Raw genomic sequence first — 25241 nt, 5'->3', positions numbered from 1 at the left:
ACGGAGTCTCCCTGTGTTGGGCAGGCTGGAGTGCAGTGGCACGATCTTGGCTCACTGCAGACTCCGCCTCCCGGGTTCAAGCAATTCTCCTGCCTCAGCCTCCTGAGTAGCTGGGACTACAGGCGCATGCCACCACACCCAGCTAATTTTTGTATTTTTAGTCGATACAGGGTTTCACTATATTACTTTATTGGCCAGGCTGGTCTCAAACTCCTGACCTCAGGTGATCCATCCGCCTCAGCCTCCCAAAGTGCTGGGATTACAGGTGTGAGCCACTGTGGCCAGGGGTAATTCTTCATTCTCATACAAGCCTCTGGGTTCTGAAGTAATCTTTATCTGAGTTAATGGCAATTTACACTAATTCAGTAACAAAAATAAGGCACTGGGGAGTATGTTTAGAGGTGTAGGCTCTGTGTGAGTTTGAAGAAGTCATTTCTGTGCCTTAAGAGGGTAAAAATGGGCTTAAAAGGATATCTAGGCCAGGGGCGGTGGCTCATGCCTTTAATCCCAGCACTTTGGGAGACTGAGGCCCGTGAATCACTTGAGGTCAGGAGTTCGAGACCAGCCTGGTCAAACTGGCAAAACCCTGTCTCTACTAAAAAATACAAAAATTAGCCAGTCGTGGTGGTGGTGGGTGTGTGTAATCCCTGCTACTCAGGAGGCTGAAGCAGGAGAACTGCTTGAGTCTGGGAGGCAGAAGTTGCAGTGAGCCAAGATTGCGCCACTGCACTCCAGCCGAGGTGACAGAGCAAGACCCCGTCTCAAAAAAAAAAAAAGAAAAAAAAAAAGAAAAGTAAAAGAATGACAATTCTCATTATTAATATTTTTTCCTCTGTGAGCGCCTCCTGCATTTTTAGCACATGACAAAATAGCCAACTTTTAGTTTTGCTTAAAGCAGACTAGGTAGTGCTCAGAAATTATTCGGGGGCCAGGCACAGTGGCTCCTTCCTATAATCCTAGCAATCTGGAAGGTGGGGAGATTCTTTAAGGCCAGGAGTTCAAGACCAACCTGGCAAACATATGGCAAGATGCCATCTTTACTAAAAATAAAAATAAAAGTAAATTATTCTGAATGAAGCCAAAAATCTCTTCTCTGGCCACATGCTCTTCTTTACCTCTCTCTGTAGTTGATCCTCAGTGCCACATCCCTATTTCACCTAGAAGTTAAATACAACTTATAAAATGCCATAAAAGTCCCAGAGGGATGGAAGCACTCTAGAATTTGAGAACATTTATACAGAGGTGGCCTGGACGAATGCTGTGAATTGAAGTTCTCTGAAAAGGAATTTAGAGAAAAGAGACTTTATTCCAGTGAACAGTTTGCTTCAATATAGCTTGAAAAGTACCAGGCTGGGCACGGTGGCTCATGCCTGTAATTCCAGCACTTTGGGAGGCCAAGGCAGGAGGATCGTTTGAGCCCAGGAGTTTGAGACCAGCCTCGGCAACAAAGTAAAACCCTGTCTCTGCAAAAAATTAAAAAACTAGCCAGGTGTGGTGGCGTGCACCTCTGGTCCCAGTTACTTGGGAGGCTGAAGTGGGAGGATTCTTGAGCTCGAGAGTTCGAGTTACAGTGAGCCATGATCATGCCACTGCACTCCAGCCTGGGTGACAGAATGAGATCCTGTCTGAAAAAAGAAAAAGAAGAGCACCAGCCTGGGGATTCTAATTGAACTACTATATCCCATGGGGCTGAATGCCTACAAACGGCAAAGAGCCTGGACAGCTACTATTTCTGCAGCTGGATACATGAAGTAACATTGAGTTGATCCACCACCATATTCCCAGAACCATGCTTTTGAGGCAAATCAAGATGTGTGTGTGTGTGTGTGTGTGTGTGGTTTTTTTTTAATTTTAAAGTTAATTTTAAATAACTCTACCATTTGCCATTTTGCACTAGAAAAGAGGCTAGGATCAGTAGTGTGCCTAAATTTGTTTGTACCAGTTCACGAAAGCTGATTGTTAAATTTTCAGGAATTTTGCAAGGTGGAGGTGCTTGAACTTGGTGTTGCTGGGAGTATTTATACCATGGAAAGTGGCAGATACTACAAATCAGTTTGCTAGCATTTGTTTTTTGTTTTGTTGTTGTTTTGAGACATGGTCTCACTCTGTCGCTCAGGCTGGAGCGCAGTGATGTCATCATGGCTCATTGCAGCCTCAACCTTCTAGGCTAAATCCTCCCTCCTCAGCCTCCCAAGTAGCTTGGACTACAGGTGCGCCACCTGACTAATTTTTATGTTTTTCGTGGAGACAAGATCTCCCTATGTTTCCCAGGCTAGTCTCAAACGCCTGGTTTCAAGTGATGCTCCCGCCTTGGCCTCCCAAAGTGCTGGGATTGTATAGGCATGAGCCACCACGCACAGCCCAGTTTTTGAAATTTTGTTTTTCCTGGGAGCCAGTTTACCAGTACACCACTGGCTGCCATCTGCATGTTAGGCTTCCGAGATTTCCATTTTCTTTGCTGTGCTGTTTGTGTAGAAGCTGTTGTGCTGGATTCTGGTTAAACTTTTTCCTGAGACCCTTTGCCATGATGAGGGTCTGTCCTCCCACTCTGGCCCTACGCTGCCCAGGCTCAGGGGCTCTGCTGTGCCTGGCATTCTGCTCCAGGGGTCACCTCATCTCCACCTATGTCCAGACCCTGATGATGTGGGGGAGCCTAGAGGATTAATCACGGGCACAGCGTTGAGGAAGAGGCCATGAGATGTGCATGCCTAAAATAACCACTCCTCTCCCTTTCCTTGGGCAGCTTGGCGGAGAACCAGATCAGTAACAAAGGGGCCAAAGCTCTGGCCAGATCCCTCTTGGTCAACAGAAGTCTGACCTCTCTGGAGTAAGTAAGGACAACCAAGGCCGAACTTTTGCCATTGGAACCAGAAGAGTTGTGAGGCATCTTGTGAAGTCCCCTCCCTCCTAGGAAATGACTTGGGTCTTACCTGTCTGTTCTTCCCTGATTCCCATGATTCAGCCCCTGGGTAGCATCTGGACATAATATCCATACTTCATTTGGAGCAGGTTCTAAGACTCCTGTGGGAATAAGACACAGGGAGGCCACACCTTAGCGCACATGCCTTCCTGGTGGGGCAGAAGGACAGCCGGGCTGAACCATGGCTCCTCAGTTGCCGGGCTACAGCCAGGGACACACCAGATGTTTGCCCTGCATCTGGGGCCATCATTCTCATCTCCACATTTGGCCCAAGCCCACTAGTCCATCAGGTGCTGCTTTCTTTCCCCCAACACCTGAGACAGTCGTGGGGAAACTCCTTCCTTGTTTATATAAGGATCTCTGCCCTGGTTCCACCAAACATGAGATCCTAAGCCCTTACACATTCCCTTAGAGGATCACGAATTTCAAGGTCAATGCAGTTTCTGTTTCCCCTTCCCTCTCTGGGAGACAGATGAAGGAGGTGTCTCTTTCTCTCTTCCTTCAGCCTCCGCGGTAACTCCATTGGACCACAAGGGGCCAAGGCGCTGGCAGACGCTTTGAAGATCAACCGCACCCTGACCTCCCTGAGGTGTGTGTCACCTGCTCCCTGTGTTGTGACCCCAAGAGAGGGCCCAGAAAACCCTCTCCTCAGGCACCACCTATGAGAATGGGAGGTGATTCACAATGGCAGGCATGGGGCCGGGCACAGTGGCTCACATCTGTAATCCCAACCCTTTGGGAGGCTGAGACAGGTGGATCGCTTGAGGTCAGGAGCTCGAGAGCAGCCTGGCCAACATGGCGAAATGGCATCTCTACTAAAAAACAAAAATTAGCTGGCGTGGTGGCAGGTGCCTGTAATCCCAGCAACTCGGGAGGCTAAGGTAGGAGAATCGCTTGAGTCTGGGAAGCAGAGGTTGCAGTAAGTTGAGATCGCGCCACTACACTCCAGCCTGGGTGACAGAGTGAAACTCTCTCAACAAGCAAGCAAACAAAGATGGCAGGCATGGGATACTGGCTCCCATCCCATTGGGTACTGGGGATCTTATGCCCTACGCAAGTTTCCAGGGTCCAGCTCTTCCCTAGACTTGAGCCTGTGTGTGTGGCCTGAGCAGGGGACAGAGTTGTGATGTGGTTTGTTACGTCTCTTTTTTTTTTTTTTTTTTTTTTTTTTTTTTTTTTTTGAGACGGATTCTTTCTTTGTCACCCAGGCTGGAGATCTTGTCTCACTGCAACCTCTGCCTCCTGGGTTTAAGCGATTCTCCTGCCTCAGCCTTCCAAGTAGCTGGGATTACAGGCTCCTGCCACCACGCCTGGCTAATTTTTTTGTATTTTTAGTAGAGACGAGCTTTCACCATTTTGACCAGGCTGGTCTCGAGCTCCTGCACTCAAGCCATCTGCCTGCCTTGGCCTCCCAAAGTGCTGGGATTACAAGTGTGAGTCACCGAGCCCAGCCAGTTATGTCTCTTTTAAAAGCCTGTGGTTATATCTATACTTAGCTGAGTGGGTACCACTTTTCTGTTCTGTTTTCATTTATTTATTTATTTATTTATTTATTTATTTATTTATTTATTTATTTTTATTAGGGTGAAATTCATGTACCATAAAATTGACTGTTTTAGGCGGGTCCCAGAGGCTGATGCCTGTAATCCCAGCACTTTGGGAGGCCAAGGCAGGTGGATCACTTGAGGTCGGGAGTTCGAGACCAGCCTGGCCAACATGGTAAAACCTCATATCTACTAAAAAAAAAAAAGAAAAGAAAAGTACAAAAAGTTAGCCAGGCATGGTGACAGGTGCCTGTGGTCCTAGCTACTCAGGAGGCTGAGGTTGAGTTGAGCCCGGGAGGCGGAGGTTGCAGTGAGCCAAGATCGCGCCACTGCACTCCAGCCTGGGCGACAGAGCGAGACTCTGTCTAAAAAAAACCCTGACTGTTTTAAAGTGTACAGTTCAGTGGCATTGAGCAAATTCACAATGTTGTGCCACCATCACATCTGTCCAGTTCCAGAATATTTTCATCACCCCTGAAGGAGACCTCATACCCATAAACAGTCACTTCCCATTCTCCCCTTTCCCCAGCCCCTCACAATCACCAATCTGCTTCCCATCTCTAAGGATTTACCTATTCTGGACATTTCATGTAAATAGATTTATATAGGCTCGCCTTTGGTGTGCGGCTTTCCTCATTGAGCATGATGTTTTTAAGCTTCATCCGTGTGGTACCATGTGTCAATGCTTCCTTCCATTTTATTTTAACTTTTTTTTTTTTTTTTTTTGAGACGGAGTCTGACTCTGTCACCCAGACTGGAGTGCAGTGGCGTGATCTTAGCTCACTGCAACCTCTGCCTTCCAGGTTCAAGCACTTCTCCTGTCTCAGCCTCCCGAGTAGCTGGGATTACAGGCATGTGCCACCACACCCAGCTAATTTTTGTATTTTTAGTAGAGATGGGGTTTCACCATGTTGGCCAGGCTGGTCTCAAATTGCTGACCTCAAGTGATCCACCCACCTCGGCCTCCCAAAGTGCTGGGATTACAGGTGTGAGCCACTGTACCCAGCCTCTTCCCTCTGTTTTAAGGCTGAATCATATTCCACGGGATGGACAGACCATGATATGTTGATCCATTCACCTAATGACAGCCATTTGGGTTGTTTCCACCTTTTGGTTATATGAATATCGTTGCTGTGAACATTGGTGAATACGACTTCCAGTGCCTGTTTTCAATTCTTTTGAGGATATACCTAGGAATGGAATTGCTGGGTCACATGGTCAACCCATGTTTAACCTTTTAAGGACCTGCCAGACCATATTCCACAGACAGCGGACCATTTTGCATTCCCACCAGCAGCGTGAGGGTTGCAGTTTCTCTGTATTCTCACCAACACTTGGATCCTGTGTCTTTCAGCTGTAATGAGGGCAATTGATGACTTTGTTGTGGTTATTCAGAGAGCAGAAGCACCTTGTTCCCAGCCAGCAGGCAAATGCTTAGCAACTCAAAGAAAAACCTAAGCCCCAGGCAGTGGTGCAAAGGGTCCACTGCTCTCCCTGCATGGTGGGCGGTGAGGGCACGTAGTGGTCAGAACCCCTTGCTCCACAGAGGTGCCCCCACTGCAGAGAGAGTTCAGACCCCTGGGTTCCAGCTTCTGCTCCATCAGTGATGAGCCTCTTCTTGTCTCTGCAGCCTCCAGGGCAACACCGTTAGGGATGATGGTGCCAGGTCCATGGCTGAGGCCTTGGCCTCCAACCGGACCCTCTCCATGCTGCAGTGAGTGAACACATCTCCTCTCTCCCCCTTCTCTCCCTTCTCCCTCCTCCTCCAAGGGCCTCTCTGCCTATTACCTGCTAGGAAGAATGGATGGGGCTAGGACCTGAGGCCTTCTGACCCATCTGGATGGCCCCTGATGCCCATTACTTTTCGAGAGAGCAGCTGTTGGGGAAATAATTAAAAATAAAACCTCCTGGCTGGGCGCAGGGACTCATGCCTGTAATCCCAGCACTTTGGGAGGCCAAGGCAGGCGGATCACTTGAAGTCAGGAGTTTGAGACCAGCCGGGCCAAAATAGTAAAACACCGTCTCTACTAAAAAAAAAAAAAAAAAATTAACCAGGCATGGTGGTGCAAGCCTGTAGTCCCAGCTACTTGGGAGGCTAAGTTGAGAGAATCGCTTGAACCTGGGAGGCGGAGGGTGCAGTGAGCTGAGATCGTGCCATTGCACTCCAGCCTGGGCGACAGCGAGACTCTGTCAAAAAAAAATAAAATTAAAATATAAAATAAAATTAAAATATAAAATAAAATAATAAAATATAAAATAAAATACCTTCTACCAACCCACAGATGTAGGAAAGAATACAACAATTATTGGATAAACATTAAACTGACTGCACGGTGCATCGGGGCAACCCACCAATGAGACTGTAAAGACAGAAAGCTCACTTTTCTAGAGCCAAGCAGACAGGACCCTCGTCCTCAGGCAAGAGGGCCAGGCAGCACCATTTGCCGTTTATCCTAAATACAGCAGATAATTGGAGTGGCCATTTGTGGTCCCTAATTGCTTTTATCCAAAGGAAAAGTAAAGCTTTTATCTCTATGACACGCAGGTACTTTAGAGCTTCAAGCCAGATACCTAGCCTAATTCCCGAAGGCAGGGAAGGAGGGACTCTTTGTTCCTTAATGTTTACATTTCAAAGAGATGGCTCCAAACCCTTATGAAAGACATTCCCAGGCTGTGAAAGTGGCCAGAGGCTGATTTTGCTTTTAAAAAGATTTACATACATCTTAAAGGGACAGAGGCAGCATTTGCAACCTCAAGTTTTCTCAGGAAGTGCTCTGAGAAAATGAGGGTGGTAAGGAGTCTCTTTCCTTTTTGGAACCAGGGAAAATTACATTTTTTAGGATTTGTATTTAGCCTCACACAGGAGACGTCCTGCCTGCCTGTCCTTGTAGGATGAGGACAGGGTTTCTCCCGTGCTGTCTCCCTCCACCAGATTTAGGACAAGAGGAAGCAGCTTTTTCAGAAGAGGAACCTAAGCCAGGGTCTTCCTAGGGAGGTTTCTTTTTTCTTTTTTATTTGAGACGGAGTCTCGCTCTATTGCCCGCCTGGAGTGCAGTGGCGTAATCTCGGCTCACTGCAACCTCCGCCTCCCTGGTTCAAGTGATTCTTCTGCCTCAGCCTCCCAAGTTGCTGGGATTACAGGTGTATGCCACCACGCCCCGCTAATTTTTTTATTTTTAGTAGAGACGGAGTTTCACCATGTTGGCCAGGATAGTCTCGATCTGTTAACATCGTGATCCGCCCACCTTGGCCTCCCAAGGTGCTGGGATCACAGGCATGAGCCACCGTACCTGGCCCCTAGGGAGGTTTCTTAGGGTTGGAGGCAGCCTGCTGGTCTAGATGGGAGGCAGACTGCAGGTAAGGCACCAGAGAGACTTGTCCATGGAGGTCCCCATTCGGGAGGTTGCTGGGCATTATCAGCACCTACTGATCTCTGCTTTCTAGCTCCTTGCAAGGGAGGCTCAGCTGCCCTGACCCCTTACTATCCCTCATCATAATGTTGGTCCATTATCACTTAGGCAACAATCCAAAGACCCATCTGGAGAACGCCCTCCCCACCTGCTCCAATAAATGTAGAGGGCACACTAGTTGTCCCTGACCTTGAACCTGAACCGTCCTTGGCCTGGGAATGGCTGTGACCAGCCTTTCTAAAGGACCCCTCTCTTTTCTCCCACAGCCTGCAGAAGAACAGCATCGGGCCCATGGGAGCCCAGCGGATGGCAGATGCCTTGAAGCAGAACAGGAGTCTGAAAGAGCTCATGTGAGACATATGAAAGGCCCACACTAGTATCCTCAGTGCCCAGCACAATGCCCAACCCAGCACAAATATTTGTGAGCCTGAGGATGGATGGATGGATTGATGGATAGGTGAATGGATGGATGGGTGGGTGGATGGATGGATGGGTGACTAGGTGGATGGGTGGCTAGGTAAATGGATGGATGGATGGATGGATGGATGGATGGATGGATGGATGAATGAAGGGATACACTGATGAGTGGACGGATGGATGGATGAGTGGACTGATGGATGAATGAGTGGATAGATGGATGGATGGTTAAATGAGTATATGGGTGGGTGGATGGATGGTTGGGTGGGTAGTGGTGGATGGGTAGGCAGGTGGATGGATGGATGGATGGATGGGTGAATGAATGGATAAATGAATGAGTGGATGGATGGATGGATGGATGGGTGAGAGGACTGGTGAATGGATGGATGGATGGATGGTTGAATGAACGAGTAGATGAATGACTGAGTGGATGAATGAGTGAATGGAAGGATGGATGGATAGATGGACGGTTGAATGGATGGATGGATGGTTGAATGAATGGATGGATGGATGGATGGATGGATGGGTGGATGAGTGGATGAATGGATGCATTGATGGGTGGATTGGTGGATGGGTGGATGGATGGATGGATGGTTGAATAAATGAGTGGATGAATGGGTGAGTGGGTAGATGGAGGGATGGATGGATGGGTGGGTATGTGGATGAATGAATGAATGAGTAGAGTAGATAAATGGATGGTTGAATGGGTGAATAGATGGGTGGATGGGTGGGTAGAGAGGGATGGGTGGATAGGTGGATGGGTACGTGAATGGATGGATGGTTGAATGGATGAGTGGATGGATAAATGGATGAGTGGATGGATGGATGGATGGGTGAGTGGATAGATGGATGGTAGAATGAATGAGTGAATGAATGAGTGAGTGGGTGGGTGGGTGGATGGATGGATGAATGGATAGATGAATGGATGGGTGGGTAGATGAGTGGATGGAGGCATGGCTGAATGAATTAGTGGAGAATAGGTGAGTGGATGGATGGATGGACAAATGGATGGATGGGTGGATGAGTGGATGGACAGACGAAATGATAGCTAAGTGGACTGATGGGTAGGTGGATGGATGAGTGGATGGATGAATGGGTAAGTGGGTAGGTGAGTAGGTGGATGGATGGACGAATGGATGGATTTATGAATGAGTGGGTGGGTAAGTAGATAAATCAATAAGTGAGTGGATGGATAGATGGATGGAAGTGTGAGTGCTGGTTAGCTGACTTTGGACTCCAAAAGCACTAACCGAGGAGAATGGAGACTCAGATTCCCAGGACTGGGTGAACCCCAACCTTCTCGGGCTCACATTTACTGTCTTCCCAGCTGGCAGAAGAAAACATTTCCTGACCATCTTCACAAAAACCCCCCAAAATACTTATCACTGAAGGGTTGACCCTTCTTGCCAGGGAGTCAAGAGGGACTTTGCTATCCTGATTTCTTACAGACAACAGGTGGTCACTTGCAGAGACTACAGCCAACAGGCCTCAGGCAGAACAAACTGTGCACTGGCCACCCTTGAGACAACAGAGCCAGCCCTCCCAGGAGGGCTTCCCTGACTCTGATCCCTCTGCCCAGCCCTGCCTGGCAGCTCCCAGAGGCTGGCTCATCCATATCCCTTCTCTTGCAGGTTCTCCAGTAATAGTATTGGTGATGGAGGTGCCAAGGCCCTGGCTGAGGCCCTGAAGGTGAACCAGGGCCTGGAGAGCCTGGAGTGAGTCCACCTGCCAGGGTGACGATTCCCCCTGGGTTCTCTTTCCAGTAGATAGTGGGCCGGCAGTCCTGAAAAATGGCTGTCCCCCAGGGCCATTTCCCTGCCAACACTAACCCTGGGCACACACTGTCCTCAGTAGCCCCTGCCCCACCAGCTCCATTTCCCTAGACAGTGGGGGCTGGGGTAGGGTCTGGAGTGTTTGGAATGATGAGCTCCAAGTGTCCTTGAGAAGCCAGCATGGGTGGCTGGAGAGGGAGTCAGCTGCAGCAGCTTTGGTAGGGGAAAGGAGAGCTCAGCGCTACACCCACACTTGGGGAGCCTGCTGCGCCACTCCCTCTGGGGGCTGCAGACCCAACACACCCTGCTCTGAGGCTGTCTGGGGCCACCCACATCAAGGCAGGGTCTACATTTGGGGGTTTGTTGTGCTGAACCCACCTGCCCTGACCTGGCAGAGGCTAGAAGGTGGGGGGCTGGGAGAGGAAAGAGAGATGAGAAGAGAAGCAGTGTGGCCACCACTGTCCCTGGAGCCCCCAACTCCCTGTTGAGCCCAGTGCCTGCTGTCCCAGACTGGGACAGGGCAGCTCCCTCTGGGTCCTGGGACAGCCACACCCAGGGCGCCTCCTCTTTCCGCAGCCTGCAGAGCAATTCCATCAGTGACGCAGGAGTGGCAGCACTGATGGGGGCCCTCTGCACCAACCAGACCCTCCTCAGCCTCAGGTAAGTCCTGGCCACCCTCTCCAAACAGGGCGTTTCTTTGACGAGGCACCTGTCTGCAGGGACTTGGCACTGGGAAGCCTGTCTCAGGGAAATCTATGGCTGGGGAAGCCTTCCTGGCAGCCTGGCCCTTTTCCTGCTCTCTTGGGGTGCAGGGGATAGCTGCTGCCCGCAGTGGCCCATTCTGCCGCTCCCTTCCCAGATGCACGCTGAGCCACCTGTCCCCTCGCACCTCTGGGGCCCTGTCATCCTGTCCTCTCCCTGTACTGCGGATGGTCCTAAAGTGGGGGCACCTGGCTGGCCCAGCACTGGCTCACTAGCACTGGCTCCTTCACACCTCAGCCCAGACTATGCAGAACTCTAGGTCCCCCGCCTGCAGTTTCTTGGGCTTCAAGAAGCCTAAACACCTGGGCTTGGCTTTGCCAGACACCTCATCTGCCCGGTCAGAAGCTCAGGTCTTTCCTTTTTTTTCAGCCTTCGAGAAAACTCCATCAGTCCCGAGGGAGCCCAGGCCATCGCTCATGCCCTCTGCGCCAACAGCACCCTGAAGAACCTGGAGTACGTGGTGGGGGCCTGTGACTCCACAGGCTGTTCATGCCATGACCACACCCACACCGAGCCTGGGCTGACGGGCACCCTCGCCACGTCACAGGGTTGGAGAAGGAGCTGGCTGGGGAGGGTGCAGCCAGGAGACCTGACATCGGGTGGCAAGTCCCCCACTCTCATAGTGTAAACTGCACGAGGGTGAGGCTAGTGTGACGCCGTCTGCTTCACCTGGTGGGGATGGATGAGGATGTTACCATGCCATTGGGCAACGTATCCCCAGGAAGCACCCCCTCGTGCTGGCTGGGTGATCTGGTATCAAGCCCTGGAATCCCTGGTGACCAAGGACCGGAGGCTTCACAGCCGGCCCCCGGCTCACTTGCTCCTGTTCCCTTCCTCCTAGCCTGACAGCCAACCTCCTCCACGACCAGGGTGCCCGGGCCATCGCAGTGGCAGTGAGAGAAAACCGCACCCTCACCTCCCTTCAGTGAGTCTGCAGCTCTCCACCCTGCTCTGTTCCCCTTCTGCAGAGCTGCCGGGCTCCACCCAAACCAACGATGCACAGGCCACACCTGGTTTGGGGACACCCCCTGCAAAGGTCTCAGGGGCTGCCCGGGCTAGCCTGCTGCCAGCAGACTGTGCCCCATCCTGTGCTCTCCTGACCCACAGACAGACATGTGTTAAGAGGTGGTCACAGCTGGGCCTCCAGGCAGAGGCCATTTGGAGGTGTCTTTTCTGGCTTATTCCCCGGCCCTCTGGCCACGGCTAACCAGGGAGTACATGTGACCCTCTGAGAACTAAGTCTGGGCAGGGGTTGCAGGAATTCTCCTGCCACATCCTGCAGGGATTCCACCTCCTGCCATCAGAGCCTCCTTGGCTCTGCCCCAGGGCCACATAGTCACATAGTCACATAGTCACATGTGTCTGTGTCTGCCCAGCCTGCAGTGGAACTTCATCCAGGCCGGCGCTGCCCAGGCCCTGGGACAAGCACTACAGCTCAACAGGAGCCTCACCAGCTTAGAGTAAGTTGGCCTGCCCAGGGGCTGCAGGGCGGGGGCTGTTGAGGACAGGGGAATCTGAAAACCTGGTACCCATCAGGCAGAGGCTCAATCCAGTGACCCCTGGCACTCCTCTTCCCTAAGGCCAGCTGGCATGTTTCAGTCCTTGTCTGCCTTTTAAATATATTGGCCGGGTGCGTTGGCTCACGCCTGTAATCCCAGCACTTTGGGAGGCTGAGGCATGTGGATCATCTGAGGTGTCAGGAGTTCAAGATGAGCCTGGCCAACATGGCGAAATCCCATCTCTACTATAAATACAAAAATTAGCCGGGCATGGTGGCACATGCCTGTAATCCCAGCTACTCGGGAGGCTGAGGCAGGAGAATCGCTTAAACTCAGGAGGCACAGGTTGCAGTGAGCAGAGATCGCGTCACTGCACTCCAGCCTGGGCGACAGAGTGAGACCCTGTTAAAAAATATATATATATACACACATATATATACATACACACACACACATATACACACACATATATACACATATACATATATACACATACATATATGTACATACACATATATACATAGATATATGACAGCTTGATTGAGATATAATCTTCACGCCAGAAGATCCACCCACTTAGTATACAATTCACTGGTTTCTAGTGTATTCGGTGATGCAATCATCACAATCAATTTTACAACATTTCCATCACCCCGTTAGCACTCACTACCCATTCTCCCTTTCCCCCAACCCTGGCAACCACTAATCTACCATCTCCATGATCTTCCTACCCTGGACACCGCATATAAATGGAATTGTGCGATACGTGGCCAAAAATAGAATCATACGACACGTGGCCTTTTGTGGCTGGTGTCTTTCATTTGGTGTCAGATTTTCAAGGTTCATCCACATTGTAGCCTGTCTCAATACTTAGTTCCTTTGTAAGGCTGAATGATATCCATTGTATGGGTACACAGGTTTCATTTCTCCATTCATCAGCTGACGGACGTTGGGTTGTTCCTACTTGGCTGTTAGGAACGGTGCTGCTGTGGACCTTTGTGCACCAGTTTCTGTGTGGACGTGAGCTTTCCTTCTCCTGGCTGGATATACCTGGGAGTGGAGTCGCTGGGGCGTGAGGGAACTCTAGGTTTAACCCTTGGAGCCTCATCGGCCTTTCTCCCTGACCATTTCTTCTCCTTCAGCTTCCAGGATGTCCCCTCTGTCTGGGCCTCGTCCTCTTTTCTTCTGTTTGGCTCTTCTGCGCAGGGCTCCTCAGGGATCGTCCTATGTCATCTTCGCTTGCCTGGCGTCTCTTTTCCTGGAGCTCTTTTCCTTTCCCTGGGCTCCAGTGATCTTCAAAGTCCCAACGACTCCCACGTCCGTGTCCCAGCCCTCTCTCCTCAACCCTAGACCTGCGCGTCCACACCCCCTCTGTACCTCCCTTCGGGATCTTGCTCGGGTGCAGGGTCCCTGCATTCTCTCTCCTGAAAACCTGCTTCTTGGCTCCCCATCTTGTGAATGGAACCAACTGTGCAAGCTAGAAACAAGACCTTCACTCTCACCTCCCACTTCCTTTTCTATAACTTTTATTTTATTTTTGAGATGGAGTCTCGCTCTGTTGCCCAGGCTGGAGTGCAGAGGCGTGATCTCGGCTCACTGCAACCTCTGCCTCCCAGGTCCAAGCGATTCTCCTGCCTTAGCCTCCCGAGTAGCTGGGATTACAGGTGCCCAACACCACGCCCAGCTTTTTTTTTTTTTTTTAATAGAGACGGGGTTTCACTATGTTGGTCAGGCTGGTCTCGAACTCCTGACCTTTAAGTGATCCTTCCACCTTGGCCTCCCAAAGTGCTGGGATTACAGGTGCAAACCACCACATCCAGCATATAACTTATTTTTTAAAGTAATATTTACAATTTTTTTTAAAGAGATGGGGCCTCACCATGTTGCCCAGGCTAGTCTTGAACTCCTGGGCTCAAGCGATCCTCCCACCTTGGCCTCCCAAAGTCCTAGGATTACAGGTGTGAGGCACTGTGCCTACCCACCTCCTGCTTCCTATTCATTGTCAAGTCCTGTTGGGTCGGTCCCCTCTGTGTCCCTGCCATCCACTCGATTCCCTCTGCGTCCACTGCCCCTGCCCAGGCCATCGGCACCACTCACCTCCATCCCTGTGGTAGCCTCCACCTCAGTCCATCCTCTCACACTGCTGGCCAGAGACCTTTCCAGAGCAGCTCTGTCCCATCTTGGGTGCCATCCTTGAATGGTTGCCCAGGGCCTGCAGAGTAAAGTACACACAGCCCCTCAGGGTGGCTTCTGGGACCCCTAAAATCTGCTTCCTTTGTCCCTCCCTGGACTCATTTCTCACTTCCCCAGGAATTCAATTCGTTTGGGTTCCTTAGCTGAGCCAGGCACACTCCCCACTTTGGGTTCGGGTTTTGACCTATTTCTTCTGGGAGCCTTCTGTTGACACCCTGGGGTGGGAGATGCTGCTTGCTTTTCCCTGCAGCCTGCACTTGGCCTGTTGTACCTGCTCATTTAATCATGTCTTCCCACCTGAGCTTCGAGAGGGGGACTCAGGCCTGCTGCCTTATACAACACCTAGCACATGAGACACACTCAAATGTTGTCTTTCTTATTTTTTTTTTCATTTTAATTTTTTGAGACGGAGTCTAACTCTGTCGCCCAGGCTGGAGTGCAGTGGCGGGATCTCGGCTTACTGCAACCTCCACCTCCTGGGTTCAAGTGATTCTCCTGCATCAGCCTCCCCAGTAGCTGGGACTACAGGTGCCCTCCACCACTCCCAGCTAATTTAGTAGAGACAGAGAACCCTGTCTCTACTAAAAATACACCCACCCAGCCTAATTTTCGTATTTTTAGTGGAGACGGGGTTTCACCATGTTGGCCAGGCTGGTCTCGAACTCCTGACCTCAAGTGATCCACCCACCTCAGCCTCCCAAAGTGCTGGGATTAAAGGTGTGAGCCACTGCGCCCGGCCACACTCAAATGTCTGTTAAAATAATGAATGCAAACAGCTCTTGGCCTTGAACATACCAGTGTGCGCTTGAGCTAAACTCAGTCACTCACTGCACCAGGGCCTGCTAGTTCCCTCCAACTTAGAAGGGGAAAAAATGACACAAAGCCCTAATTAGCAAGAATGGCCAAGGAGGTTGGGCGTGGTGGCTCCTGCCTGTAATGCCAGCAATTTGGGATGCCAAGGTGGGAGGACTGCTTGAGCCCAGGAGTTCAGGACCAGCCTGAGCAACATAGTGAGACCCCATCTCTATAAAAGAATAAAAACATTAGCCGGGCATGGGGGCATGTGCCTGTAGTCCCCGTCTCTAGTTAAGTACTTTAGTCTCCTCGGGAGGCTGAGGTGGGAGGATCGCTTGAGCCTGGGAGGTTGAGGCTGCAGTGAGCCGTGATCTCACCACTGCATTCCAGCCTGGGTGGCAGAGTGAGACCCTGTCTCAAGAGAAAACAAGACAAACAAGAATGGCTCAGGGATTGAGGGCTTTAAGTTCATTTTCTGGTTGGCTGTGAAAAGCATCCCCTTTTGGGTCCCAAGCCCCTGCTGACAGTCACTCTATATGTCCCATTTCCTGCTTGCCTCTGGCGGTTCAGACTCATGCAGGCCCCAGACGCCTCTGTGTGCTTAGTATGAGGCGGCGGGCTGCAGGGCCTGTGGAGGAAGGGCAGTTATCCCCAGGAAACCCTGGGAGTGTCTATGGTGTGTGTAGTCGGTTAAACCTGGCAGGTCCAAGTGCGGCAGGGCCTTGCTAGAATGCTCCCTGTGCCCCGTGCACCCAAAGGGGTCATACTCTGTGTCTAGTTTACAGGAGAACGCCATCGGGGATGACGGAGCGTGTGCGGTGGCCCGTGCACTGAAGGTCAACACAGCCCTCACTGCTCTCTAGTAAGTCCTAGATGTGCGCAGCAGTCAGGAAACCGGTCCCTTCGCCATCCTTTCACGTTAGAGGTCTTTTTTTTTTTTTTTTTCCTCGAGACAAGAGTCTTGCTCTGCCACCCAGGCTGGAGTGCAGTGACATAATCTCAGCTAACTGTAACCTCCACCTCCTGGGTTCAAGTGATTCTCAAGCCTCAGCCTCCCATACAGTAGTTGGGATAACAGGCGTGCACCACCACACCCAGCCTAATTTTTGTATTTTTAGTAGAGACGGGGTTTCACCATATTGGCCAGGCTGGTCTCAAACTCCTGACTTCAGGTGATCTGCCCACCTCAGCCTCCCAAAGTGCTGGGATTACAGGTGTGAGCCACCACACCTGGCCTGGACGTTATTTTTGTTTACAAGTCAAGGAAGGTGTGTTTGATTTTCCTAATATAGGAAATATGATATTAGCAGTTGGGGGCTCAAACACCTAGAGAGTAGTAATGAGGAGGTACAGGGAGCATTCTCCCCGAGCCCTTCCAGGGACAGCCTCTATTTCTCATCTCCTTAGCATCCAGATCTCTGTCTTAGGCAACAGACAGTGTAGGTAGGAGATGGAGTGCCTAGACACAGCGCTGGCCAACCATTCTCAGTGCTGTTTCTCCACTTTCCATCCTGAGTCAAGGGGTGGTGAAAGGGAACGGAGTATGCGGAGGGAGGTGGGCCCAGCCGGCTCACACTGACGGCACCCTCTCCGCCCCAGTCTCCAGGTGGCCTCAATTGGTGCTTCAGGCGCCCAGGTGCTAGGGGAAGCCTTGGCTGTGAACAGAACCTTGGAGATTCTCGAGTAAGTATTCCAGTCTCCATCTATGGTCTTTAGCCCAAAGAAATCAATGAATTCTCAATGAATAGATATGGGGACAAAGTTTACAGACAACTCACAAATCATCCTGGTGATCTTCATTTCAGTGCAAGTATACCAGTTTCCCAGCCCCACTTCATGCCTTTCCCTGGGAGTCGCTATCATTTGCCCTCCTCTCCGGGTTGGCCTTGCCAGGCTGAACACGTCTAGAGGCCTGGTTTATGGGTCCCAGGGGGGCTGATCTTGTTCTCTGGGCAGATCCAAAGTCCTGGGGTGAGGTTACAGCTCTGAGGCTCAGGCATGTCCTCAGAATTCCTGCCCTTGCTGGGAGCACTGGGGACCTGCCCAGATGGAGGGCTGCCTCTCCTGTCTCAGCCCCGCTTTTCTGTTTGAAATGGAAGAGGAGGAAGGCTCCAACAACCCTCCTGGCTAGGCCAGCCATGCCCCTGTGTGCCCTGCTTCCCAGAGCCAGCTCTGCCCTGTTGCCCTGGAGTGAGGAAGGCACAGCCCTGGCCTCCTGTGACTGCTGAAGTCCTTGTTTCCTCTACCAAGCAGCCCCAAGCCCACCCGCAGAGGGGTCAGTATCACCTCTCAGCCTGTACCCATGCCTTAGGCTTCCTGTCTTTCCCAACAGCTTAAGAGGAAATGCCATTGGGGTGGCTGGAGCCAAAGCCCTGGCAAATGCTCTGAAGGTAAACTCAAGTCTCCGGAGACTCAAGTAAGTGGCTGGAGGGACCTACCTGCATCCTGGAGCAGCAGAGTTCTCTGCTGGGTCCTCCCTGATGGAATAAAATGCTCCTGATTTCTTCTGTAGCTATTTCCTTCTGAATATAAACAATCAGACTTATTATAGTCCACATTCCACTGCAGCTGGGTTTGTTGAGTGTGCTTAGCTTCAGTCAGAAGTCACTCACATCTTGCATTTATGGCCTTACATCCTCCAGCGCACTTGCGTGGGACAATCTGGCCACTCGTAGACACCTGTCTCCAGGGTCAACTCCCACCTGGAGTTGCCATGGCACCTGTGGACACATCTGCCTGGGTTACTGCCCCCAGACAATGCACTGTTGCTTCCCCGGGTGTTTTCCTTCTGCCCTGATGGCTCACCGTGTGTCTCCATCTCTTTTCCACTTAGTCTTCAAGAGAATTCTCTGGGGATGGACGGGGCGATATGCATTGCCACAGCACTGTCTGGAAACCACAGGCTCCAGCATATCAAGTGAGTGCACCTGCCCTTCCTGCTCACCCTTAGAACTGCTTCCAGGTGGCGCACTGCCTTTTGCCCAGTTCTGAGAGCCAGCTGACCCCCAGACGCTTCAGCAGGCCTATAGGGAAACCTGGTCTAAGGGGAGGTACCCTGAGCCTTGTCCATGTAGCGAGGGGATCCTAGAAGCACAAAGGCTTTGCATGGGGTCCTGCATTTTCTATTGTATGGCCTGCTCTACTAAAGAGAACCTGCAGGCTTTGAGCCCTGCCTTAACCCTACTCTTCTAGTCTCCAGGGAAACCACATTGGGGACTCCGGGGCCAGGATGATCTCAGAGGCCATCAAGACAAATGCTCCCACGTGCACTGTTGAAATGTGATCCTGGTGGACGGATCAGGAGAATGGGCAGATGCTCAGCTGGAAGCTTTTGAACAGAAAGGCCGACTTCTGGGGGGCCTGTCTGGGAGCTGGGAACGCTGCTTGCTCAGCACGAGAGCCGGGCTCTGCAGGGAGGAAGGAGAGGTGCTGCCGGAGGAGGTCGTGAGCTCCTCTTCTGCTGCAGGAGTGGTCCAGGCAGGGGGTGACGGGTACTCTGTTATGGCACAGAGAAGGGAGGGGCCACCCCCAAGGGACTAGGGGCCAAAGGCCTGAAAGCTGAGCAGTACAGGAGGCTGGTTCCAGCTTTACACCCTGAGGACTTCATGTGTCCCCAACCTTTAAAAATGTTTATTACTGCCCCTTTCCACTCACCTGGTTAAAAATCATCCCATGCTCTGAGATGAGCTGCCACCTCAAGCCCGTGAGGAGCATCCGTTTGGTAGGGGTAACAGAGGGGACCCTTCTTTATCTTCTCAAGAAGAAGATTTCAGGGTATCATCCTTACAGACATGAAAAAGCTATGGGAAAATTGTGAAGATAAATGAAAGTTTTAATTCTAGGATTCTGGAAACAGAGACAGTAAGAGTTCTCCAAGGATTTTGCCTTTTTTGTTTGTTTTTGAGATGGAGTCTCGCTCTTGTCGCCCAGGCTGGAGTGCAGTGGCACGATCTCAGCTCCCTGCAACCTCCGCCTCCCGGGTTCATGTGATTCTCCTGCCTCAGCCTCCCCAGTAGCTGGGAATACAGGCACCCGCCACCATGCCCGGCTAATTTTTGTAGTTTTAGTAGAGACGGGGTTTCATCATGTTGGCCAGGCTGGTCTCGAACTCCTGACCTCAGGTGATCCATCAGCCTGGGCCTCCCAAAGTACTGGGATTACAGGCATGAGCCACCACACCTGGCCCCATTTTTTATTTATTACAAAATCAAAGACATGGGTGATGCCTGGCACATGTTGTCTGGAGTCTGGCACACTGGTTATCAATAGCACATTCAGTGTATTCAGTGATGTCATTCTTTATTTATTTTTGAGACAGAATCTGTCACCCAGGCTGGAGTGCAGTGGCATGATCTCAGCTCACTGTAGGCTCTACCTCATGGGTTCCAGTGATTCTCCTGCCTCGGCCTCCCAAGTAGTTGGGTCTACAGGCACGCACCACCACACCCAGCTAATTTTTGTATTTTTAGTAGAGATGGGGTTTCACCATGTTGATCAGGCTGGTCTTTAACTCCTGACCTCAAGTGATCCACCCACCTCAGCCTCCCAAAGTGCTGGGATTACAGGTGTGAGCCACTGCACCTGGCAGTGATGTCATTCCTTACTAGGCTTCCAAAGCCACTGCTGTGGCCACAGCTTCCATGGAGACAGGCAAGCTGAGCCTCTATGTGGCACCAATTCCTGCAGCTGTTTGTGTTGGAGGGAAAAAAATCCAAATGGACATCAACAGCTTTCATCAACTAAATAACCACAGAAAATATTTATGAAGACTATAAAGCAATGATTACTTTTGAATTGGAAAGGAATCACTATTATTTGAAATGTTTCTTCAAAAGTGAGCATCCGGACAGGAACCATCATGGATGCTGAGGCCATGGATGAAGGCCTACTCGGGAAGATGATATCCTTGCAGTCTCAAAACGGCACCCCACAAAGGTGATATCCTAATTTACAAAGGGAAAAAGGTACCTTAATCTGAAATCTGGCAAATGCAGCCTCAACAGAAGTGACAGAATTGAACATCGCCAATAATGGGACACACAGACATCACATGCCCCCAGTCTGATGCACCACGGAGTCGTCTCTGATGTATTCTTGTCAAAAAATGTTTGCCTGATTCTAATCATGAAAGAACAATTAGAAAAAATCCAAATTGACAGATATTCTGCAGAATAAATGGCCTGACCTCATCAAAAACATCAATGTCATGAAAAACACAAAACATTGCAGATAGCGTGAAATTAAAGATTACAGAGATATAATTTAATGCAAGATCTCTGACTGGATCCTAGACTGCAGGAAAAAGTCTGCTATAAAGAACATTTGGATCACTTGTAGTAGCTGGGAAATAAAACAAAACATTATTTGTAAAAGGGGGGAAATCTGAACATGGGTCTTGCAGTATTTATGACAGTTTTTGCGGGGCAGAGATTTCTAGATTGACAGCTGTTTTAGTACTTTCAAGGTGATGCTCTGTCTGCTGGTTTGCATTGTTTCTGTCTGAGTTAAGAGACTGGCAGAACACAGAGTTGCAGTAGCCAAACACTGGAGAAAGCTGGGCCCTACAGAAACCTAACGCTGAAGAAACCTCAGGAGCCAAACTGGTGGAGAAAACAAAGAGTCCTCCCTCTCTCCCTTTTCAAATAATGATCATACATCTTCAAGCTGTCTGAAATGGTTAAGGAGTTCAGTCTGTCGTCAGGCACACACCAGAGCCAGCTAGCCCACACAGACCCCATCAGAGCAAAACAGACAAGAGAATTTAATTCATATCCACATAGAAAGGACTTCTAGGTAGGAGGTAGACCCTTTAGCTCCCTTCCAATTAAAGGAGTCCCCAATTCTGGCACCTGAGAGTCCCCTGGGTCTAACAGCTATGATATTTATGTAGTGTGTTGCTTACCTAAATGAATACAATTTCCTTCCAGACACGTGACACTGATATTAAAGTGCTAATGAGAGGGATCTATTTCTTCTTGTACGCTAAAAGAGAAACAGCAGTTCAGATTTCCCATCAGAAGTCCGAGGACTTTGTTCTTGATAACTACTACCAATAAAAATTGAGTATTTGAAAAATTCCTTTGTATTTTCCATCCATACACATTTTTTTTTAAAGCATTTTAGGAAGTCCTCTAATTATATAGTAAAAATTGTCAGCAATGGCCTGCTAGTTTTCTATTTGACCTAATCACAACCATCCTCGTTAGGTCCTGAGGTCTGCTCTGCTGCTTGGCCAAAACCAAATGGTGCCAGGTCACAAAGCACTTGCACATGTGAATCCTGCATCCATTCTACAATGGGTCACTATTGACTGAAATACTTTAATAAAAATGATAGAGCACATAAAGCTTGCTGTTGACAGAAACTTCCGTGCTCAAGCAAGGCAGTGCTATACATGGTGAGACCTTGCACAAAGTCAGTTAACTAACAGATGATCTAGAAGCAGGTGACACAATGAAATACCCTTTGGAGCTGTTGCCTATGTCTGTGGATAGGCTCTTTGTAGCTAGGTTAGGCTTCTGTGTTAAAGTGTGTTAGAAGAAAGCATCACATAAGGAAAATAGAACTCTATTCGTATGTTTTTTCAAAACAGAAGTCAAGTCACATTCAGGCAAACCAAATCTGTAACATTCAAGAAGATGCAGTGACTCTTCCGCATCTTAGAGCCACGGTGTCTGAGGTGGCTGGCATGGCTCCAACACGCTGGCTTCCCTGTCAGTGGATCATTTACAATATGGTGCATTTCAAATTACTGGTGAATTCACTGAATACTGGCTGTTTTTTTTTTTTTAGGGGTAATCTTATACATAAAATTTAGGAAAAGAAAGAGAAAAAAGCAAAAATGACAGAAATAACTCAAAAGTTCCTAAAATTTATGTGTATCTTTTCGTACCTGTGAACTCCTGAATAAGTATTTATATCTGACAGGTACAAATACAATAATTATATTTTTAAGTAAAACCTATTTAATAATATGAAGTATGGTGTTAAATACATGTATTAAAAGATAAGTAACTTCAGAAGTCTTCTGACTTTTTAATTGTAAAATAAGTGAAAACTGTTTTGTGCTTTTTTATTTACTGTATGCTTTTTTTTTTTTTTTTTTTTTTGAGATGGAGTCTCACTCTGCTGCCCAGGCTGGAGTGCAGTGGCGCCATCTCGGCTCACTGCAACCTCCGCCTCCTAGGTTCAAGCGATTCTCCTGCCTCAGCCTCCCCAGTAGCTGGGGTTACAGGCATGCGCTACCACGCCCGGCTAATTTTTGTATTTTTAGTAGAGGTGGGGTTTCGCCATGTTGGCCAGGCTGGTCTCAAACCCCTGACCTCAGGTGATCTACCCACCTCAGCCTCTCAAAGTGCTAGGATTACAGGCATGAGCCACCACGCCTGACCTACTGTACGCTTTTTACAAGCAGCGTGCTTTTCTTTTTCTTTTTTTTAAAGACAGGGTCTCACTCTGTCACCCAGGCTGGAGTGCAGTGGCATGATCACGGCTCATTGCAGCCTCAACTTCCTGGTCTCAAGTGATTCTCCTGCCTCAGCCTCCTGAATAGCTGAGACCACAGGCATGCCCCTCCACACCTGGCTAATTTTTTAATTTTTTGTAGAGATGGAGTCTCACTTAGTTGTCCAGGCTAGTCTAAAACTCCTGGGCTCAAGTGATCCTCCCACCTTGGCCTCCTGAGTAGCTGGACCCAAGGGCGCTTGCCACCACTCCCAGCTAAGTACTTTTCATATTAAAAAAAAAGAAGAAGAAAAAAGAAAAAAACCAACTCCACTTCTAATTTCACAACAGAAAAATTCTTCTAGTGCTATTACTCTACTTAATTCAATCCTGTGTTGTTGTTTTTTTAAATCAGAAACATGAATCTGTACCAACACTTTTTCTTAATTGGCTCCTTCCCCTACAGAAACACTTAGGTAGCGAGCTGCAGGAAACCTGCCTTTGTCCCTGTGTTGTGCACTATGTCTTGCCACACTTTAGACAAAACAAAGCTCCTTTAGAGAAACCCTGGCTGGAGGGAAGAAAAGTGTCCCGGCTGTCATTGCCATGGGAGTCTGGAGTTTCTGAGAGGGCAGCCCAGGTCACCAGAGTTTCCAGATTTAGTACCAACCGTGGAAACATGAAGGTGGCTGTAATCCAAGGTGAACTGGACTGCCAGAGGAATGTCAGCTTCGGACAGAAAATGGAGGATTCCTCATCTGGAGCCTGTCTCTATTGCCTGATTTTCAAAGAAACCAAGTTTTCATTTAACTTTAGCTAACCTTCTTTCAGAAAAGTTTAGTTATTAAAATACATTTAATGCTTGGTATTGTGAACATGCAGACGAAAGAAAATAAGATTACAAAATGAAATAAGAGCTAGAATTAAAAGCCGATGTATAGGAAATGTTCTCAACTGTGCAAGTGATTAACAGCCAGATGTTCCCCTACGATTCCAAACATGAGTCCCCAGTGCCAAGTTCCAGCCCCAACTCTGCTGGAGTCTCAGAGAAAATGTATAGTAACAAAAGCAGCCAAGACTTGTGTGGCGTCAGCTCTTATTTCTTCTTGAGTTTTTGTCCCGTGGATGTGAATCACTAAGAACACATGCATTCCTCAAGTTTTAGAAGATAAATAAGGTGGAAAAAAATAAATCTTAGGGATTTGCTTCAATTCTTATTTAAGCTTCATGGAATGCAAACATAGGAGGCTAAAGCAGAAATAAGTATTGCTTCAGTGATCATGAGTCCAGCCAGCTTAGTAAACAAAACAGGGGTTACCTTCCTAACCTTCTAAGTTCCCATTTACCTACAAGTCTGAGGGTTTTAATCTGCCAGGGTCCCTTGGCAAAAGGGTCAGAAGTCATTGTCACTCTCATCCAGGGGTTCAGATTTCCGGACCCTTCGATTGGGCTTGGTTGGTGAGAGAGAAATGCTCTCGTCTTCCAAATCGTCATCCTCGTCATCATCATCTTCCATGTCAATTTCACTCTCCTCCGAGTCCTCCTATAGGAAAAAAATGGCAGATGCAACGGGGGATCCTGCCTCATTCCTGACATCTTGTCCTAAGACTCTCTGCCTCCCTTTCTATAGCAGCATCCCTGTGTGAAGGAAGAGGCTGGCAGAGTGGCAAGCAGGCTGTGGGAGGGCATACAGATGGGACTGAGGCTATGTACTGCCAGCTGGAATTTATCATCCAACCAGAATCCTCCAAACTGCAGGTGCATCTGGGTGTGGTGCTGCAGGGGCTGGCTTTCCCGCAGCGTCTAAGAAGCACTCTGCATCTGCGCTGAGGGCCACTGGACCTAGAGACTCCCCCTACAGATGGCAAGAAGGACAGGGGCTTGGAGAGAGGGAAGGGAGGCCTGTTTTGGCTTTTTGTAGATTGTGGATGGAAAGCAACATAGACATTGGTATAAGGAGCAAAGTGAATCCCAGCTACTCCGGAGACTGAGGCAGAAGAATCGCTTGAACCTGGGAGGCAGAGGTGCAGTGAGCCGAGATTGCACCACTGCACTCCAAAGCAAGACTCCATCTCAAAAAAAAAAGAAAAAAAAGAAAAAAAGGGAGCAAAGTGAAAGACACACCCTCTCTCTCCTCATCGGATCCAGGGCTCCAGGGTGACCAACTCAGCCCAGCTTTAAAACGGCAGTTCCTGCGTCCCATGTAAACCAGGATGGCTGGTCGTTCTATCTAGATCATTCCTGTCGGTGCACACTCATGCTGTAATTTCCTTCTTGAAAAAAAACCCCAAAGGTAATCCCACCTTCCTCTCCAGCTGCTCTGCCCTGTCTCTCTCCCCTCACACAAAGCTCCTGAGCGAGTCGTTGAACTCACTGTCCACACCTGTGCCCCTCACGACTGCTTCAGTTCCCCCGGGCTCTCACCTACTGACCCCAGCACTGCTCCTGTCAAGAAGGAAACATTCAACGGACTGGGATCGATTCTC

At 49.4% G+C, this 25241-nt stretch overlaps 2 protein-coding genes and 1 long non-coding RNA gene across 16 annotated transcripts in view, besides 5 other annotated features; 1 reads left to right on the top strand and 2 right to left on the bottom strand.

Moving 5' to 3' along the window:
- Positions 1 to 21387, top strand: part of NLRC3 (NLR family CARD domain containing 3) — a 38371-nt gene extending 16984 nt beyond the window's left edge. For 2 of the 5 annotated variants that reach the window (NM_178844.4, XM_047433769.1), the window contains 14 exons: positions 2744 to 2827; positions 3426 to 3509; positions 6095 to 6178; positions 8141 to 8224; positions 9923 to 10006; positions 10640 to 10723; positions 11195 to 11278; positions 11667 to 11750; positions 12202 to 12285; positions 16091 to 16174; positions 16912 to 16995; positions 17645 to 17728; positions 18146 to 18229; positions 18505 to 21387. In NM_178844.4, the coding sequence (NP_849172.2) occupies positions 2744 to 2827; positions 3426 to 3509; positions 6095 to 6178; positions 8141 to 8224; positions 9923 to 10006; positions 10640 to 10723; positions 11195 to 11278; positions 11667 to 11750; positions 12202 to 12285; positions 16091 to 16174; positions 16912 to 16995; positions 17645 to 17728; positions 18146 to 18229; positions 18505 to 18595 (1183 nt within the window). In that variant the 3' untranslated portion in view covers positions 18596 to 21387. The other 3 variants (NR_075083.3, XM_047433770.1, XM_047433771.1) reach the window with 3 other exon arrangements.
- Positions 831 to 18511, bottom strand: LOC101929732 (uncharacterized). 4 transcript variants are annotated; one of them, XR_007064951.1, is made up of 4 exons: positions 17751 to 18511; positions 14422 to 14536; positions 2931 to 3021; positions 831 to 1275 (listed from the first exon to the last, which is right to left on the bottom strand). It is a non-coding gene; the product is annotated as an uncharacterized LOC101929732 (long non-coding RNA). The 4 variants fall into 4 exon arrangements; XR_007064952.1 differs by having other exon boundaries at positions 14422 to 17834; positions 17925 to 18511; XR_007064953.1 differs by having other exon boundaries at positions 14422 to 18032; positions 18118 to 18511.
- Positions 5432 to 6151: an enhancer, noted in NCBI's record as "OCT4-NANOG-H3K27ac-H3K4me1 hESC enhancer chr16:3604270-3604989 (GRCh37/hg19 assembly coordinates)". NCBI's record gives its function as "activates a minimal SCP1, AML or CMV promoter by ChIP-STARR-seq in naive H9 embryonic stem cells {active_cell/tissue: H9 hESC(naive)}" and the evidence as "EXISTENCE:reporter gene assay evidence [ECO:0000049][PMID:30033119]".
- Positions 6152 to 6872: an enhancer, noted in NCBI's record as "OCT4-NANOG-H3K27ac-H3K4me1 hESC enhancer chr16:3603549-3604269 (GRCh37/hg19 assembly coordinates)". NCBI's record gives its function as "activates a minimal SCP1, AML or CMV promoter by ChIP-STARR-seq in naive H9 embryonic stem cells {active_cell/tissue: H9 hESC(naive)}" and the evidence as "EXISTENCE:reporter gene assay evidence [ECO:0000049][PMID:30033119]".
- Positions 6873 to 7592: an enhancer, noted in NCBI's record as "OCT4-NANOG-H3K27ac-H3K4me1 hESC enhancer chr16:3602829-3603548 (GRCh37/hg19 assembly coordinates)". NCBI's record gives its function as "activates a minimal SCP1, AML or CMV promoter by ChIP-STARR-seq in naive H9 embryonic stem cells {active_cell/tissue: H9 hESC(naive)}" and the evidence as "EXISTENCE:reporter gene assay evidence [ECO:0000049][PMID:30033119]".
- Positions 11778 to 12087: an enhancer, noted in NCBI's record as "active region_10326". NCBI's record gives its function as "activates an Ori minimal core promoter by ATAC-STARR-seq in GM12878 lymphoblastoid cells {active_cell/tissue: GM12878}" and the evidence as "EXISTENCE:reporter gene assay evidence [ECO:0000049][PMID:35858748]".
- Positions 15497 to 15997: an enhancer, noted in NCBI's record as "H3K4me1 hESC enhancer chr16:3594423-3594923 (GRCh37/hg19 assembly coordinates)". NCBI's record gives its function as "activates a minimal SCP1, AML or CMV promoter by ChIP-STARR-seq in naive H9 embryonic stem cells {active_cell/tissue: H9 hESC(naive)}" and the evidence as "EXISTENCE:reporter gene assay evidence [ECO:0000049][PMID:30033119]".
- Positions 21372 to 25241, bottom strand: part of CLUAP1 (clusterin associated protein 1) — a 43622-nt gene continuing 39752 nt past the window's right edge. For all 7 annotated transcript variants that reach the window (XM_047433797.1, XM_047433798.1, XM_047433799.1 and 4 more), the window contains one exon: positions 21372 to 24298. In XM_047433797.1, the coding sequence (XP_047289753.1) occupies positions 24149 to 24298 (150 nt within the window). In that variant the 3' untranslated portion in view covers positions 21372 to 24148. The remainder of the gene's footprint in view (positions 24299 to 25241) is intronic.

The sequence above is a fragment of the Homo sapiens genome, chromosome 16, assembly GCF_000001405.40.
Source record: "Homo sapiens chromosome 16, GRCh38.p14 Primary Assembly".
Lineage (NCBI taxonomy): Eukaryota > Metazoa > Chordata > Mammalia > Primates > Hominidae > Homo > Homo sapiens.
This window is presented reverse-complemented; position numbering and strand designations above follow the sequence as displayed.